Genomic DNA, 19,787 nt, shown 5'->3' with positions numbered 1-19,787 from the left:
CAATGAGATATCCTTTCATCCCAGTTAGAATGGACACTATGAAAAATATTAAAAATTTCTCTGCATCCCTGAGGATGCAGAGAAAGGAGAACTCTTATATATTGTTAGTAGTAAAGTCAATTAGTACAGCTATTATGGAAAACAGTATGGAGGCTCCTCAAAAAATTAAAAATATAATTACCATATGATCCAGCAATCCCCCTACTGGGTATATATCCAAAAAGAAGGAAATCAGTACATCGAAGAGATATCTATGTGCACTCCTATGTTTATTACAGCACTATTCACAATAGTCAAGATATGGAATCAACTGAAGTATCCATCAACAGATGAACAGATAAAATGTGGCATATATATATACAATGGAATACTATTTAGCCATAAAAAAGAATGAAATTCTGTCATTCATGGCAACATGGATGAACCTGAAGGACATTATGTTAAGTGAAGTAAGTCAGGCATAGAAAGATAAATATTGACCGGGTGCAGTGGCTCACGCCTGTAATCCCAGCACTTTGGGAGGCCGAGGTGGGCGGATCACAAGGTCAGGAGTTTGAGACCAGCCTGGCCAATATGGTGAAACCCTGTCTCTACTAAAAATACAAAAATTAGCCGGGCATGCTGGTGGGCGCCTGTAATCCCAGCTACTTGGGCAGCTGAGGCAGGAGAATCACTTGAACCCAGGTGGTGGAGGTTACAGTGAGCCGAGACTATACCACTGCACTCCTGCCTGGACAACAGGGTGAGACGCCAGTCTCAAAAAAAAAAAAAAAAAAAAATTAATTGAAGGAGGGGTGACAGGAGGGAGGTGAGAGTAGTCATATGGTGTGATGGAGACCAGTTTCAGATTTACCCACATAATACTTTTCAAATGTTCTAAACTGATAGGATGATGGTTGCACAACTCTGTGAATATACTTAAAAACACTGAAATGTTTATCTTAAGTGAATCATATGATGTGTGAGTTAAATCTAAATACAGCTGTTTTTTTCAAAAGAATCAATTTCAAGAAGGATTTTATGACCTCTTAAAGAATGCTTCTTATGTTCTAACCAAACAGACAATATTCTGCAGATCCAGTACCCACCAGTTTAAATGTCAATCATCTTTTACACTTGATCTTAGCCAAAAGGCCGAGAAGCGATCCATCATCTTTTAAAATCAGATACATAACTCAAAGAATTCTTGTACAATGGCAAGCAGTACAGTCTTCTTTCTTGCTGTTTTATTTCCCACCCAGACCCAGGTTAGGTTACATTAAATCTTGTCACAAAAAGATAACAGTTACGTATCTGGCAATAAAATTCTATGTTAGCCCCCGGGAACAGTAGCTCACACCTATAATCCCAGCACTTTGGGAAGCCCCTGAGGCAGGAAGATCACTTGAAGCCCGGAGGTCAAGACCAGCTTGGCTAGCAAAGACTCCTCTACTAAAATTTTTTAAAAATCAGTCAGGCATGGTGTTGAGCACCTGTAGTCCCAGTTACTAAGAGCTCAGGAGTTTGAGGCTGCAGTGAGCTATGACTGTGCCACTGTACTCCACCAGCCTGGGTGACAGAACCAGACCCCATCTTAAAGAAAAAAAAAAAAAAATTCTATGTTAGCTTAAGCTCCAAGAGATTTTTTTTTAAGTGTAGCACATCATTAGTTTTACATTTATCATGAAATGAATTAGCCCATTTCACCAATAATAAACAAAGAGATAGAGCATTTAGGTAATTTTCCCAGAACCTCAGGCTTCTAAAACACTGTCCCACCATTCTATCAAGGAGCTTTTTTCTAAGATGTTTTCTTACCTGGTTTCAAAGGTGTGACAATAGCTTGCTGAAGATTAGCCTTTCTCAAAGGAGTTTTGCCCTGAAAAAGCCCTCCAGTTCCATTCTTCCCCAGTAACTTATTCTCCAAATTGGCCTTCTCCTCTGTGAAAAGGGAAGATCATCATTGTCTGATCAGCAAGGAAGCAAAACAAATCACTATCACGCATTTAAAATGCAAACTAAAGCTCCCTACCAGTACACTTCCAACTCATGTGGCAAGTACAAGCAAAGTTCTAGCAATCAAAAGAAAAAGTACACATTACACATCCGAGATAGACTATAAGAACAATCACTAAAAACTGGCAACATTGAACAATGTATTATAAAAAAGGAAAAGTACAGATTCTGCATTGTGAATAACTCCTTATCTTTGTTTGGTACACATTTAGGGTCATACAAATATGAACTGGCTTTATCTACTCCCTAAATATATCATGTTCCTCTTAAAGAAAACTGTAACCAGCCGGGAGCGATGGCTCACACCTGTAATCCCAGCACTTTGGGAGGCCGAGGCGGGTGGGTCATGAGGTCAGGAGATCGAGACTGTCTTGGCCAACATGGTGAAACCCCGTCTCTACTAAAATACAAAAAATTAGCCAGGCGTGGTGGCACATGCCTTTAATCCCAGCTACTTGAGAAGCTGAGGCAGGGGAATCGCTTGAACCTGGAAGGTGGAATTTGCAGTAAGCTGAGACCGCACCACTGCACTACAGCCTGGCGACAGAGCAAGACTCCATCTCAAAAAAAAAAAAAAAAAAAAAACGAAAGAAAACTGTAACCATCAAAAACTGTAGGGCTTACAAGAGATACTGTATAGTCTTACAGAGTTTCCTCCTCAGTGGGGTGGTGGGAGGAATAAGGGGTGTGTGAGGGTAGAGCAGAGCTAGGTTCTCTCAAGAAATTTTATCTTAGATTCTACTGTGCCCAGAAGTCAGTACAAAGCAGTGAAGGGTCTGTTCTACCAACAGCCTACTGATAGTTTCAGGAATGCAGTGAGACACAGCAATAACTACCCTGTGCATGTACATTCTGATTGCAACTGTGTAGAAAGATGTGACTATTTATTTGGGAAAGAAATTGGAAAGTAATATATTAAAACTGAGGTAGTTTTGTTAGCCAAAAGAACTCTGGCAAAAACAAAAAGAAAAAAAAATAAAAATGTTTTAAAACTAAGGTAGTTTTGGAAAAATAGTGGGGTCATTTTTTTTCTTCCAAATTGTATTTAACAGTATTCTTAGGCTAATCTTTTCTTTTCTTTTTTATTTTAAAGAAAAGCTTAGAAAAAGAAATCCTCAGACAGCCCAGCCATTTCCTTACAGTTCCAGTGAAGCAAGGGCATGGGGAAGATCCCCGCAGGACAGCTGGCCCTTGTATTTATTTACCCTTCCTCCCACACCACTTCCAACAGACGACTCCTCTCAGGATCCCCACTAGATGCCATTAAAGTCCTTTTCCAAAAAATGGCACCTGTCAACACATTTGGACAGTGCACTATACGGATAAGTACAGCTGCAATGGACTCACTTCTGTTCCCCACCACATATTCATAGTGATTTCTCCCGATAAGGAGGATGGAGACATGAGAGAAAGAATCAAAGGGGCCTCAACAACTAGTCTCAGATATTATTTCAAAGTAATGTAAAAATGTAACCACATTCTTACTTACCATTGGCCAAGCAATACTGTTTCTGGGAATGGGTTCTTAGTAGCATAATCCTTCCATTTAAAAATGAATTGAGGGCCAGGCGCAGTGGCTCACGCCTGTAATCCCAGCACTTTGGGAGGCTGAGGTGGGTGGATCACCTGAGGTCAGGGGTTCAAGACTAGCCTGGCCAACATGGCAAAACACTGTCTCTACTAAAAATACAAAAATTAGTTAGGCATGCTGGTGGGCGCCTGTAATCCCAGCTACTTGGGCGGCTGAGGCAGAACCGCTTGAACAAGAGTGGCGGAGGTTACAGTGAGCTGAGATTGTACCACTGCACTCCAGCCTGGGCAACAGAGCGAGACTACAGCCTCAAAAAAAAAAAAAAAAAAAATGAATTGAGGGAGGGGTGGCAGGAGGGAGGTGAGGGTAATTATAAAAGATCTTGACTGTGATGGTAGACACATAAACCAACACAGGTGATAAAACCACAGAGAACTTAATACACATACAAGTAAAACTGGAGAAATCTGAGTAAAACTGGTAGATTGTATGAATGTCAATATCCTAGCTGTGATATAATCTATCCCTAATGATAGTAGACAAAGTTTTTATGTGGCTGCCATCACTACAGACATATTTGAGCATGGAGTTTTGTTGAACACTGGTTCATCTGAACTTTCCCATAGGTCCCTAAAGCTTAAATCTGCCATTCTGAACTACAAAACAACATATGCTTTGTACTTACAATCCATTCCCCAAATACTGGGCATTTCAATTATTCCCATAATATCATGGATGACAGAATGTCTTGGTGCAGAAAGAAGTTGATATTTTAGTTCTTTTCTTGCAACCCCTTCTATTATTGAAAGGTCTTCAGCACAAAGCAAGCCACTAATCCTTAAAATAGCCAGAGAAAGCAGGCACTTACCAAACCATGAATCTATGTTTTGAGTATCTCCTTCATCATCCAAGGATGAAAAATTGATGAAATCCGAGGGGGCATCATAGGAATAAGAGCTTTTAACTTGTGACATTGTCTCCCACTTAACGCAGAAGAGCAGGTTTTTCCCAGTATTTGTACCACTTTTCTCAGCAGGTCACCTTCTGAGGAAAGAAATGGTTGCACATAAATCTAAGTAAATTCCCATCATTACTTTGGTTTTACTACCACGTTTGTAATTTTGCAAACCACCTAGAATTTACTGAAAATAGCCTTACTTTGTCCAATCAACCTAAACATTAGTTTTTCAGGTAACTTAAAGATACTCCTTGAGGTAGATATGTTTGGAATTAGAAAGAAGTGGGCCAGACACAGTGGCTCACGTCTGTAATCCCAGCATTTTGGGAGGAGGGAGGACCACATGAGACCAGGAGTCCAAGTCCAGCCTACAAAACATAGACAGACCCTGTCTCTAAATAAATTAAAATTATCTCTAAGTATAACAGTTGACCCTGTCTCTAAAAAGATAAAAATTATCTGTAAGTAGTTGACCCTATCTCTAAAAAAATAAAAATTATCTTTAAGTAATCAGCAAATATAAAGAAAAACCAAAAAGAAAAAATTGAAATTAAAAATAAATTTTAGGCCAGGAGCAGTGGCTCACGCCTGTAATCCCAGCACTTCGAGAGGCTGAGGCGGGTGGATCACCTGAGGTCAGGAGTTCAAGATCAGCCCGACCAACATGGCAAAACCTCTTCTGTACTTAAAAAATACAAAAAATTAGCTGGGCATGGTGGCAGGCGCCTGTAATTCTAGCTACTCGGGAGGGTGAGGCAGGAGAATCGCTTGAACCTGGGAGGTGAAAGTTGCAGTGAGTCGAGATCGCGCCATTGCATTCCAGCCTGGGCAAGAAGAGCAAAACTCTGTCTCAAAAAAAATAATAATAAATAAAAATAAAATAAATAAATAAATTTTCTAAATGTTTTTTAAAAGAGGCAAAGTTTGATAAGTATCTACACTGTGCTAGGTGTTTTACATTCACCATGTCATTATTTTCCCTCAATTTACCATTTTCTCATTTCTAGCCTCCTCTAGCCCAATTTATTCTCTCTCTGCCCTGAATAACCCAATTTCTAAAATACACCACTAATTTTTATGCCTACCAACCAAAATCTTATCCATCATTCAAAGTCCAGGTCAAATCTCTATGAACTCTTTCCCAATTTCCACCTATCATACAAAATTGTTGCCTCTCCAAAGCCAATTGTGCTTTGTTTATATCTCCACTGTAACACTTATCATCCAATTTTATATTAACTATGTAAATGTCTCTCCCAGTAGACTCGAAGTTCCTAAAAACAAAGATAGATTTTACTCACTTGTGTATACCTCATCCATCCATCCATCCATCCAACCATCAAGGTGCTTAACACAGTGCATTATACATAGTAAGAGTTCAACACAGTTTTGTCAAATATAAGTTGTCTTTTCTTAGAAATATTCTCAAAAAATACTATTTCTGAGTATAAAGACGACAACTTTGAAATACACGTAAGAGTCACAACATGCAGCATAGGAACAGAAGCAAGGATAAGGGAACAAGTTAAATAGGCCCCTCCCTACTCCTGCGTACGAAGTTTTGCACTCTATCTTGTGGAAACCTGTGAAGGTTTAAAGTCAGCTCCTACTCAAGCCTAATCTAGTTAATAAAATAGCTGAAAGTAATCTGATAAATAGCCTAAAGGCCACACTCAGTGGCCAATAATTTGCCAATGAAACCCAATGAGCCATTTGTCTTTTTTTTTTTTTTGAGACGGAGTCTCACTCTGTCCCCCAGGCTGGAGTGCAGTGGCATGATCCCAGCTCACCACAACCTCTGCCTTCCGGGTTCAAGCAATTCTCCTGCCTCAGTCTCTAGTAGCTGGAATTACAGGCGCCCACAGCCACACCTTGCTAATTTTTTGTTTTCAGTAGAGACGGGATTTCACCATGTTGGCCAGGCTGGTCTCAAACTCCTGACCTCAAGTGATCCACCCACCTCGGCCTCCCAAGTGTGAGCCACCGCGCCCGGCCAGCCATTTGTTTTTATCCAGGGAACGACATGTACTTAAAAGTATCTGTATCTTAGAAGGGAGGTAGATGCCAGTAATCACTTGAATAAATGTTTATTTAAATTAATACCTTTCTAGTGTGGCGCAGTGGCTCATGCCTGTAATCCCAGCACTTTGAGAGGCCAGGGCGGATGGATCACCTGAGGTCAGGAGTTTGAGACCAGCCTGGCCAACATGGTGAAACCCCATCTCTACTAAAAATACAAAAAAGCGGCCGGGCACGGTGGCTCACGCCTGTAATCCCAGCACTTTGGGAGGCCAAGGCGGGTGGATCACGAGGTCAGGAGATCAAAACCATCATGGCTAAAATGGTGAAACCCTGTCTCTACTAAAAATACAAAAAATTAGCCAGGCGCAGTGGTGGGCACCTGTAATCCCAGCTACTCAGGAGGCTGAGGCATAAGAATCCCTTGAACGCAGGCAGCGGAGGTTGCAGTGAGCCAAGATCACGCCACTCTACTCCAGCCTGGGTGACAAGAGCGAGACTCCGGCTCAAAAATAAATAAATAAATAAACCTATAATGCTACACTATTCCAGATGTCTTCTCCCTCATATATATACAAACTATTATTTTTTTAAATGAATCATTGACAGTTTGAATCTGCTTCACATATTATGAATATTCTTGTATGTCAATAAATATAGACATATCAATTAATGGCTGTATCTGTTCCATAATTACTTATCCTTGATTTTCAGCCTTTTTCCAATATTTTCACTTTAAAGATACTGCTAAAGCATCATCCTTGTAGCTAAATTTCTGTACACATCCATAATTCTTCCCTTAAGATAAATCTTAAGAGGTGGAACTGCTGGGTCAAAAGCTCTTGACACATACTGTGAAAATGTCCCTCAGAAGAAAAAAACACCCACTTACATTACCAGGAGTGTGCCAGTTCCCCAAACTCTCCCCAACTCTGGGCACTGCAGCACTCATTTTCTCTAAACTATACCACATAAGCTATCCACTGAGATGAATCATGAGATTAGTTACTCCCAACCTACATAGCCGTTCAGTGGTTTGGCCAGCATTTCACAGCTTCTCTCAGTGGACTAGGGCAATTCAAAATGGACTAGGGGCTGAGAGTGGTGGCTCATGCCTGTAATCCCAGCACTTTGGGAGGACGCGGCGGGAGGATCACTTGAGGTCAGGAATTCGAGAACAGCCTGGCCAACATGGTGAAACTCCATCTCTACTGAAAATACAAAAATTAGCCTGGGGTGGTGGCTGCACCTGTAGTTCCAGCTACTCGGTGAGAATCACTTCAACCCGGGAGGCTGCAGTGAGCCAAGACCGCACCACTGCACTCCAGCCTGGGAGACAGAGCGAGACTCTGTCTCAAAAAATAAAATAAATAAAAATAATGTACTTCTGGTCCTTATAGTGTCTCAGAAACATCTGTTATTGTTGTTGTTTTTGTTTTGTTTTGTTTGAGATGGTGTCTTGCTCTGTCGCCCAGGCTGGAGTGCAGTGGCATGATCTTGGTTCACTGCAACCTCCACCTCCTGGGTTCAAGCGATTCTCTTCCCTCAGCCTCCCAAGTAGCTGGGGTTACAAGCGTGCGCCACCACGCCTGGCTAATTTTTCTATTTTTAGTAGAGATGGGGTTTCACCATGTTGGCCAGGCTGGTCTTGAACTCCTGACCTCAGGTGATCTGCCTGCCTCGGCCACCCAAAGTGCTGGGATTACAGGCATGAGCAACCGCACCCGGCCAGAAACATCTGTTATAACAAATATTTCATTTATACAGTGACATCAATCTAGACCCCAGAGAACATCATCTTCCCATGGTCTCTCCTATGCTCACTGCAGCCAGAATTCCACAAGTATCTTTATAACAATGCTCTAATTGAGGTACTTAGTGTAGAAACATGATATTTTAGAATTGGGAGGAAACTTTGATTAACACCTAACCTTTGCAGTCTATAAGATATTAACTTAAAGCAAAAAGGGGTTCTCCAAGATCACACAACAAAAATCCTAAGGATCATGGTAAAAACAGTTACCAGAGGTGTTCATTACATGCCAGGTGCCATGATATACTAAATATGTATTCTTTCTGATATGCAAAACAATCCTGTAAAGCAGCAATTATTCCCAACCTAGAAGCTGAAGATCAGAAAGATTAAATGACTTGCCCAGTATCACACAGTTACGTAAAAACAGAGCCAGATCTGGACCTGAGGCTCGTGACTTCAGCACAATGTTCTTTCTACATCCTTCTGCCCTCTTACCTTGTGAATTAAAGAAGGGTGTTCATGAAGTTAAGCTATTTGCATAGAAAAGAATACTGTATTTATTTCCAAGTAAATCCATTCTCCATAGTCTTCTGTCTGGAATAGGGGTTCTTTGGTATCCCCAGTCTAAATTTTCCTCTCTCCTCCATTTCTACTTTCATTATTAAGCTTAACTCAATAAGCTTTTTGTCAGTGGTTCACAATAGTGTGTACTTGCTAGGGGCCATAAGCTGTGTGCCCTTGAATGTTTCTCAGTAACATTCAAGGATGACACTCTATATCTTCACACAAAAAGTAGATCTAAGCGGCCAGGCTCAGTGGCTCGCACCTGTAACCTCAGCACTTTGGGAGGCCGAGACAGGTGGATCACAGGGTGAGGAGATTGAGACCATCCTGGCTAACATGGTGAAACCCCGTCTCTACTAAAAATACAAAAAGAATTAGCCAGGCATGGTGGCGGTCACCTATAGTCCTAGCTACTCAGGAGGCTAAGGCAGGAGAATGGTGTGAACCCGGGAGGCAGAGCTTGCAGTGAGCCGAGATCACGCCACCGCATCCAGCCTGGGCAACAGTGCGAGACTCCGTCTCAAAAAAAAAGAAAAAAAAGTAGATGTAGTCCTGAACACAAAGGAACTTAACATCTACATAGACGCTAAGGTCCTATCATACACAATAAATAAGACAGTTTGTTTAAATTATACAGTATGAACTCTAAGTATAGAGAATTAGAAATTAACATGGCTGAAGTCAAGGTACGATTAAATATTTTTCATTGACCATGACCAAAACAGTAGCAAGTACATTAAAATGGAAGTTACCTCCTGATAGCCACTTTCCAAGCTTGGGGTAGCCATGGGACAGTTCTGGCCAATGAGAACTAAGTAAGAATCTGCTGAGGGATTCCTAGGAAAAAATTTTCTTTCCTGAAAACAGCTATAGCCCTTATTCCTGCCCTTTCCCTTTATCCTTCTTCTTGCCTTGAAGGCAAGCTGGAGCTATGGCAGTCATCTGGTATACATGAGTAGATGGCCAAGAGAACAATAAACATAGGGCTTAACATCAATGAGCTAATGACTATTAAAGATCAAATATCAGCTACTATATACCTCTAGACTTCTGGTGTTTTTTACAATTTTCCATGACCTGCTAAAAAGACTTCTTATACTAAAAAAAAATAGGCCAGGCACGGTAGCTCACACCTGTAATCCCAACACTTTGGAAGGCCAAGGCAGGCGGATCACCTGAGGTCAGGAGTTCGAGACCAGCCTCACCAACATGGTGAAACCCTGTCTCTAATAAAAATATAAAAATTAGCCAGGTGTGGTGGCAGGTGCCTGTAATCCCAGCTACTCGGGAGGCTGAGGCAGGAGAATCACTTGAACCCAGGAGGCGAAGGTTGCAGTGAGCTGAGATTGCGCCATTGCACTCCAGCCTGGGTGACAAGAGTGAGACTTCATCTCAGAAAATAATAATAATTATTGTATAAACCATTATAGCCACATTTTCTGTCACCTGTAGTCAAAAGCAATTCCAACTAACAGAAGTCCAGAATGCCCTCTCTGGCATTTACCACATGTATATGACAATAGGCAAGTCACTAATTCTCTGCCTACCTTCTTACCATAATCAAATAAGAAGCTACTTCAAGTGCTATGAAATACACTATTGTAAGGTATTATCACTGCTGATACCTTTCCTCTCCTTGACCACATTTCTATTCAAAGGATTTTTAGTGAAAGATTCCATGGTACTGACAGTGGTTAAAAACCCCTTGCTGCAAGGAGGAAATTTTCCTTTTCTTGTGAACAAATATGCTAGAAGACATGGGAAAATCTTGGATTCCCATGATCTTAATGCCTAACTCAGGTCACTGGGAAGGCTTCCCAGGCATGAATGTAATGAAGACGACTAAAGCTGGGGGAAGGAAGAGGCAGGAATGTAACATGCAGCAACCCCACTTAGCCTCAAAACCATGATTCCACCAAAGCATGATGCTGAAAACTACCTGGAAAGTGTTCAAATTTAACCCTTCACATCCTTTTTTTCTTTCTTTTTCATCTCTGTTTTTTAAAGAATCTAGCCTGTTGCTCAGGCTAGACTCGAACTCCTGGGCCCAAAGGATCCTCCCTCCTCAACCCCTCCTAAGTAGCTGGGCATGGTGGTGTGTGCCTGTAGTCCCAGCTAATCAGGAGGCTGAGGTGGGAGGATCATTTGAGTCCAGGAGTTTGAGGCCACAGTGACCCACGATTGCACCACTGCACTCTAACGTGGGCAACAGAGTGAGACTCTGTCTCTTAAAAGACAACAACAACAACAACAACAAAATAGTTAAGCAGTATTTATTTCCCTAGATCTATGTTTGCAGCCCAAAAGAAACTGAGCTTTCTCAAATTTTTATTAAATATTCATGACAAGCAATGATTGTCTAATCTCTTGATTTAAGGAAATAATCCTTCCCATTTACGTGGCCTATAAATTGACTATTAACTTACCCAAATGTTACATATTCTCTTTCTAATATTTCTATATAGAACTACCAACCTGGCCAACATGGTGAAACCCCATCTTTCTACTAAAAATACAAAAATTAGCTGAGTTTGGTGGCACATGCCTGTAATCCCAGCTACTCGGGAGGCTGAGGCAGGAGAATCGCTTGAATGCAGGAGGCAGAGGTTGCAGTGAGCCGAGATCATGCCACTGCACTCCAGTGTGAGACTCCGTCTCATAAATAAATAAATAAATAAATAAATAAATAAATAAATAAATAGCCGGGCACGGTGGCTCACACCTGTAATCCCAGCACTTTGGGAGGCCAAGGCGGGCGGATCGCCTGAGGTCAGGAGTTCGAGACCAGCCTCAAAATGGAGAAACCCTGTCTCTACTAAAAATATAAAATTAGCCAGGTGTGGTGGTGCATGCCTGTAATCCCAGCTACTTGGGAGACTGAGGCAGGAGAATTGCTTGAACCTGGGGGGTGGAGGTTGCAGTGAGCCAAGATCGCACCATCGCACTCCAGCCGGGGCAACAAGAGCGAAACTCCGTCTCAAAAAAAAAAAAGAAATCGAGACCATCCTGGCCAACATGGTGAAACCCTGTCTCTACTAAAAACACAAAATTAGCTGGGCATCGTGGCATGCGCCTGTAGTCCCAGCTACTCGGGAGGCAGAGGCAGGAGAATAGCTTGAACCCGGGAGGAGGAGGTTCCAGTGAGCCAAGATCGTGCCACTGCACTCCAGCCTGGCAACAGAGTAAGACTCCATCTCAAAAATATAATAATAATTAATTTAAAAAATTAAAAATAAACAAATAATAAGATTTCTATATAGAACTAAAAATGATTCCTGGGGCATTGACTTAATAAAAGGGTATATAAATTTGAAAAAGTTAAAAATAAAAACAGCTATTAACTTTTTTCTTTTTTTTTGAGACAGAGTTTCACTCTTGTCGCCCAGGCTGGAATGCAGTGGCACAATCTTGGCTCACTGCAACCTCTGGCTCACGGGTTCATGTGATTCTCCTGCCTCAGCCTCCTGAGTAGCTGGGATTACAGGCACCTGCCACCATGCCCAACTAATTTTTTGTATTTTTAGTAGACGGGGTTTCACCATGTTGGCCAGGCTGGTCTTGAACTCCTGACCTCAAGTGATCCACCCGCCTCAGCCTCCCAAACTGCTGGGATTACTAGCGTAAGCCACCGTGCCCGGCCAACAGCTATTACTTAATGAGCACTTATGACATGCCAGACACTGTTGACAGTGTCTTACATGTATTAACTCACTAAATCCTCACAATAATCCTATAAAGTAGGTACTGTTATTATCTTCATTCTATACTGAGGGACTTGAGGCACAGAGAGATTTACTACTTATTCACAGTCATGCAGCTAAGAAGCAGTAAAGCCAGGATTCCAAATGGAATAGACACCGAAGGTGGTGTTCTTATCCACTGCCTATTTATTTAAAAATAGACATTTAAGCTGGGCGCGGTGGCTCACGCCTGTAATCCCAGCACTTTGGGAGGCCGAGGCGGGTGGATCATGAGGTCAAGAGATTGAGACCATCCTGGCTAACACAGTGAAACCCCGTCTCTACTAAAAATACAAAAAAATTAGCCAGGCGTGGTGGTGGATGCCTGTAGTCCCAGCTACTCGGGAGGCTGAGGCAGGAGAATGGCGTGAACCCAGGAGGCGGAGGTTGCAGTGAGCCGAGATCGCGCCACTGCACTCCAGCCTGGGCAACAAAGCAAGACTCTGTCTCAAAAAAAAAAAAAAAAATTCACATTTAAATAGATAAATAACAAATGTCATGGAGCAAGAGATAATAACTTCCAAATACTGTCTACTGTAGGCCAGGCACCTTACCAGACACTTCACATAAATCATCTCGTTTAAACTGCATTAACAATATAGACAATAGATAGATGTCTTTATAAATAAATGCTACCATCACCATTTTATAAACAAGGAAACAAGCTCAGAGAAGTTACACTATTCCAAGATCACCAAACTAATACATAGCAGTGTTGAGTTTTAAAAGAACAAGTCTGCAGGATTCCAAAATCTGGGGTCTCTCTAATGCACAAGTTTTCCTATAAACATTGCTTCAAAAAGGAGGTAGGTAATCAAATCATAAGATCCTGTTCAACAAAGACAAATCCTGCCCTTTATGAAAACTAAGCATCCCTGATATGCTCATAAAGAAAACTTTAGCAAATTACAAATCCTGTTATAAATATATTTGGAAAGCTCTGATCTGAATCTTCCCATAAATTTTTTAAAAAATCCATTGATTCCTCTTTTTTTAAGTATACTTTTCCATATGAAGTTTTTCCTCTATATAAGATGGTGGTTAGTGAAAACCTCAGTGATATTCTAGAGTAAAGAGACTATGAAGAGGGTTCAAGCAGCAGAAGAAAGGCTGTCCTCTGAGGTCTAAGACTACATTTGATTAGTGGGGAACAAACGGCGAGGGGTGCAAACCTAAGTACACTTAATCTTTAGGTGAAATTTTAAAAACAAAATATTATTTTCCTAACATGACCTGTTCTTTAAAAAAGCTTCTTTTAAGCTATATTTTGGTCTAGAATGGCCAACTCAGGAGACCATCCCCTCTCCCTGGAAAAAGAGAATAAATAAATACATATCCATTGAGAAGTCTGACTCTCTTCAATTAAGGCTGATAGGACAAGTACATCAAGAAAACGAAAAGCTAACTACTGGGTAATTTCGGTTTCACGACACTACCTCCCCCAGAAATAATAAATATGAGGATGTGAAATCTTCCAAAATTAAAGTCCACAGGGCCTAGTGGGAAATGGAACAGGCCAGAGCCAAAGGCAGCTGTTTAAATGAGAGAGCCCCAGGCATGGTGGGAACTGGATGCCTTCCTGCGTCCCTTAATCAAGATTGAATTTCTGTCAACAGGTCTCACCAAAAAAAAAAAAAAAAAAAAGGCACATGCGTCAACCACATTCCCCCAAACAAATCAAGTTGCCAAGCAAGAGAATCAGCTTCACATTTCAAAATTATCTGAATCTACCACAGCTTCAGATTCTTGCAAAACTAGAAATATTCTGCATGGAAAAATAGCTATTAATGACCAATATTCCTACAAAGACCCAAGGAAAAAGCCTATCCTGTATGCTATGAACCAATTAGGTTCCTCTAAAAACTGCCTATTCAATGCCATCCATCGTGTCTTATAGCCCATTTTTGTTTCCAAAAAGCGAAGACTAAAACGATAGATAGATAGATAGATAGACAGACAGACAGACAGACAGACAGAGATAGAGATATAAAATCTCGGCCGGGCACAGTGACTTATGCCTGTAATCCCAGTACTTTGGGAGGCCAAGGCAGGCGGATCACGAAGTCAGGAGTTCGAGATCAGCCAGGCCAACATGGTGAAACCCGTCTCTACTAAAAATACAAAAATTAGCGGGCGTGGTGGGTACGTGCCTTTAATCCCAGCTACTCGGGAGGCTGAGGCAGGAAAATAGCTTGAACCCAGGAGGTGGAGGCTGCAGTGAGCCGAGATTGCACCGCTGCACTCCAGCCTGGGACAGAGCGAGACTCCTTCTCAAACAACAACAACAAAAAAAAATCTCTTCCCTCCAAGAACGCACAATTGAATGGGGGAATGCAAACAATTACAATATAGGGCTATCCTTGCTGCAAGAGGGCATTAACAGAGAGCGCTCTGGAAGTGCAGAGAAGGAGAACAGCATAAAAGAGGATCAGAGATGGTTTCCTGATGTAAAAAATACTTAAAAGATACAGACAGACCTGCGGAGTTCTACAAGCTAAGAATGAACGTTGACTTTTTCTAGGGTAAGAGATAAATGGAAGGGGAAGACAAATACAAATTAGGAAGATTGCAGACAAAGCAATGTAACCTGTTCCCACATTCATCTGAAATTAACCTCCCATTGCCTCCCATCTTTCTTCACTCTCAAACCAAAAATAACTAGTCTTGACAAGCTCTATAAATCAAAAGGTGCAGGTTCAGACCGGGTTGGGGAAAGCTGCAAGAGGGTGCATTCTAAGCAGGGTGAAATAGGGGACTACCAGCTCCTGAGCAAAACAAAGACTTTGGTGTGACAGATGCTCTCAAACACCTTGCTATCCAGTCAGTGAGATATGACTTGCCTATTTCTATTAAAGAGAAAGTCATGAGTTAAACTGGTAATATAATAGAATAAACAGAGTAAGACAAGACTTCATTAGAAGTATAGTTAGTTAAGATGGTCCCATCCCAGGCAGTGCCATTTCTCCAGGGACATCCTCTCCTACTTTCACAAGGGATAAGAGATCCTGTTACATTACCACAAGTAAAATAGAGTGGAGTTACTTTCATCTTACCCAGAGAGAAAACACCTACATTTTTTTCTTGTATATAAGGGATTAGCAGCAGTCAGTAAATGGCAACATAATCCAGCATGCAATTTTAACTGTTAATCAAAGTCACAAACTAAGTCTGAAGGAAGTTTAATGGACTTTGTGTTTCCACATTTATGTTTGCTAACTTCTATGTTGAAATTGGATCTGTTTACAGAAACAGATCTATGAAGCTTCCAAAATTGGGTCAATTTAAAATCCAATGACAATCCCTCACTGTCCAACACTCAGAAGTCAGCACAGGACACATGGACACTTGTTCTAATTCATCACTGTCCAGAAACTTCAAGCAAATATATTTCCTATCATTTCTCTCCCAAACTTGTATGTTTCATATTGCCCTTTTTTAAGGATTACAAACTCAGTTTTGCTATAATTTATCCATAGAACTCAACAAACCATAATCCACCTATGACTAATAGGACCTAGATGGAAATCAATGATGCTGTTTACTACTAGGACAGATAATGACAGAGAGCTTTGTAAAATACTAAAAGGAAATCTTAGTAGAAACCCAAAGTAATCTGATATTCCAATAGTATGAAGCTGAAAAAGTTTGTAATGGTTGACAGTGTGGCTGCAGATTACAATCCTAGTCAAATAGCAGTCATTTCATTTTATAGAGATTTATTCCCTTCAAAAGGTATCTGGTTTGGGGAATAACACACAAACACTCAAACCCAAGAACCTAATAAAAGTGTTTATTAGATGGCTCATGCCTGTAATCCCAGCACTCTGGGAGGCCAAGGCAGGTGGATCACCTGAGGTCAGGAGTTCAAGACCAGCCTGGCCAATATGGCAAAACCCCATCTCTAATAAAAATACAAAAATTAGCCAGGTGTGGTGGCGTGCCTGTAATCCTAGCTACTCGGGAGGCTGAGGCAGGAGAATCACTTGAACCAGGGAGGCAGAGGTTGCAGTAAGCTGAGATTGTGCCACTGTATTCCAGCCTGGTTGACAGAGTGAGACTCTGTCTCCAAAAAAAAAAAAAAAAAAGTGTTTACCTATGGATGGTGAGAGTGAAGAAGTAACAAGGCTGGAGGAAGATTTTAAACCATGAAGCTTTTTATATTCTTTTGATTTTTGCACCATGCAAATATATTACCTATTTTAAGTTATACATTTATGCCTATGTGAATATATACTGTTTTAGGTAAATCAGCATAATCTTCCTACAAGGCAATTTGGTGTTACATGTCAAAAGTTTTTAAAAATATGTTTTGTTTGTTTGTTTTTTGAGATGGAGTCTCGCTGTTGCCTAGGCTGCAGTAGTGCAATGGCGCGATCTCGGCTCACTGCAACCTCCACCTCCCAGGTTCAAGTGATTCTTCCACCTCAGCCTCCCGAGTAAGTGGGATTACAGGCACCCGTCATCATGCCTGGCTAATTTGTGTATTTTTAGTAGAGACAGGGTTTCACCATGTTAGCCAGGCTGGTCTTGAACTCCTGACCTCAGGTGATCTGCCCGCCTCAGCCTCCTCAGAGTGCTGGGATTACAGGCGTGAGCCACCGCGCCCGGCCAAAAATACGCATTCTTTTAGACCAGCAATTTCACTGGTAAAAGTAATATAAAGAACCAAATAATGGAATACCATATAGCCATTAAAATTATGTTGTAGAAAAATTTGGCCAGGTACAGTGGCATGCACCTGTAGTTTCAGCAACTCGAGAGGCTAAGGCAGGAAGATCACTTGAGCCCAGGAGATGGAGGCTGCAGTGAGCTGTGATCACGCCACTGAAGTGCACACTCCAGCCTGGGTGACAGAGCAAGACCCTGTCTCAAAAAAAACAAAAAAGAAAAGAGAAGAAAATTTATTAATGACACGGGAAAATATTCATAGCCTGATTATTAAGTTAAAAAAATTAGAGGCCGGGCGTGGTGGCTCAAGCCTCAATCCCAGCACTTTGGGAGGCCGAGGTGGGCAGATCATGAGGTCAGGAGTTTGAGACCAGCCTGGCCAATATGGTGAAACCGTCTCTACTAAAAACACAAAAATAGCCGGGTGTGGTTGCGGGTGCCTGTAATCCCAGCTACTCGGGAGGCTGAGGCAGGAGAATTGCTTGAACCTGGGAGGCGGAGGTTGCATTGAGCCAGAGATCGCGCCATTGCACTCCAACCCGGGCGACAGAGTGAGACTCCGACTCAAAAAAAAAAAAAAAAAAAAGTTAAAAAAATTAACAAAAGTTTTTAGTGTATGATTTTTTTAAAAATGAAATACAGTTGGCTGTCCGTATCTATGAGTTCCATATCTGTGGATTCAATCAACTGCAGATCAAAAATATTTGGGGGAAAAAAAACTGCAAGGCCAGGCACGGTGGCTCACGCCTGTAATCCTAGCACTTTGGGAGGCAGAGGCGGGCAGATCACCTGAAGTCAGGAGTTCGAGACCAGCCTGACCAACATGGAGAAACCCCATCTCTGTTAAAAATACAAAATTAGCCAGGTGTGGCATGCCTGTAGTCCCAGCTACTCGGGAGGCTGAGACAGGAGAATCGCCTGAACCTGGGAGGCGGAGGTTACGGTAAGCTGAGATTGCACCATTGCACTCCAGCCTGGGCAACAAGAGCGAAACTCTGCCTCAAAAAAAAAAAAAAAAACTGCATCTGTACTGCATATGTACAGACTTTTTTTGAGACAGGGTCTCTTTCTGCCACCCAGGTTGGAGTGCAGTGGTGCCCTCAGCTCACCGTAACCTCAAACTCCTTGGCTTAAGTGACCCTTCACCTTGGCCCCCCAAGTAGCTGGGACTACAAGTAGGTGCCACCACGCCCGGTTAAATTTTTTTATGTTTTATTTTTTTTGTAGAGACACGGTGCCACTATGTTGCCCAGGCTGGTCGCGAACTCCTGGCCTCAAGCAATCCTCCTATTTAAGTCTCCCAAAGTGGTGGGATTACAGGCCTGAGCCACTGTACCCAGCCTAGACTTTTTTTCTTGTCATTATTCCCTAAACAATACAGTATAACAACTATTTACATAGCATTTACATTGTATTAAGTATTATAAGTAATCTAGAGATAATTTAAAGTATGTGGGAGTATGTACATAAGCTATATGCAAATACTACACATCATTTTATACCAGGGCTTGAGCATCTGAGAATTTTGTTTTGTTTGTTTTGAGACAGAGTCTTGCTGGCTGGAGTGCAGTGATGAGATCTTGGCTCACTTGCAGCCTCTGCCTCCCGGGTTCAAGGGATTCTCCTGCCTCAGTCTCCCAAGTAGCTGAGATTACAGATGCGCACCACCACACCCAGCTAATTTTTGTATTTTTAGTAGAGATGGGGTTTTGCCATGTTGGCCAGCCGGTTTCAAACTCTTGACCTCAGGTGATCCGCCTGCCTCAGCCTCCCAAAGTGCTGGGATTACAGACATAAGCCACAGTAACCGGCCGCATATGAGAATTTTGATATCCTGGGAAGGTCTTAGAACCAATTCCCCATGGATATCAAGGAATGACTATATAGACATAGAAAAAAATTATAAAGAAATCTATCAAAAGGCTAACCATGGTTTATCTGAGAGGTGGGATAGTGGGTGATTTTATTTTCTTTTTGCTTTTCATAATAAATAAATTTCCTTCCAAAATATGTGTTACTTTATAAAATTACATTAGTCATTTAAACACTTATGAAGCTGATATATTAATGTTCCTTATTCCTATGGTCACTGCCTTACCTGTGGTTTAATCAGTCTATCAGGCCTACAGGTCTGACTCAAAGTTGCAATCTTCTCTTTCACCCCTTTTCTGAAATCTTGAAGTCTGGCAAATATGTATCAAGAACCTGGAAGAAGCAGAAAAGTGATGAAACAGGTTCCAAGTTCTCTGTAGTAAAAAAGGGTTAACAGGCCGGGAGCAGTGGCTCACGCCTATAATCCCAGCACTTTGGGAGGCCAAGGCAGGTGGATCACTTGAGGTCAGGAGTTCAAGACCAGCCTGGCCAACATGGTGAAACCCCATCTCTACTAAAAATACAAAAATTAGCCAGGCATGGTGGTGCACGCCTGCAATCCCAGCTACTCGGGACACTGAGGCAGGAGAATCGCTTGAACCTGGGAAGCGGAAGCTTCAGTGAGCCAAGATTGCGCCAGCCAGTGCACTCCAGCCTGAGCAACACAGTGAGACTGTCTCAAAA

The 19,787-nt window shown here is 41.8% G+C and overlaps 1 protein-coding gene across 6 annotated transcripts in view; it reads right to left on the bottom strand.

Moving 5' to 3' along the window:
* Positions 1 to 19,787, bottom strand: part of TPX2 (TPX2 microtubule nucleation factor) — a 62,511-nt gene that overhangs the window by 39,824 nt on the left and 2,900 nt on the right. For 4 of the 6 annotated variants that reach the window (NM_012112.5, XM_011528700.4, XM_011528697.3 and 1 more), the window contains exons 2-4: positions 19,330 to 19,436; positions 4,395 to 4,570; positions 1,798 to 1,920 (exon numbers count right to left, since the gene is read on the bottom strand). In NM_012112.5, coding sequence (NP_036244.2) covers positions 1,798 to 1,920; positions 4,395 to 4,500 — 229 coding nt within the window. In that variant the 5' untranslated portion in view covers positions 4,501 to 4,570; positions 19,330 to 19,436. The remainder of the gene's footprint in view (positions 1 to 1,797; positions 1,921 to 4,394; positions 4,571 to 19,329; positions 19,437 to 19,787) is intronic. The other 2 variants (XM_011528699.3, XM_047440018.1) reach the window with 1 other exon arrangement.

This window comes from Homo sapiens, chromosome 20, assembly GCF_000001405.40.
Source record: "Homo sapiens chromosome 20, GRCh38.p14 Primary Assembly".
Taxonomy (NCBI): Eukaryota; Metazoa; Chordata; class Mammalia; order Primates; family Hominidae; genus Homo; species Homo sapiens.
This window is presented reverse-complemented; position numbering and strand designations above follow the sequence as displayed.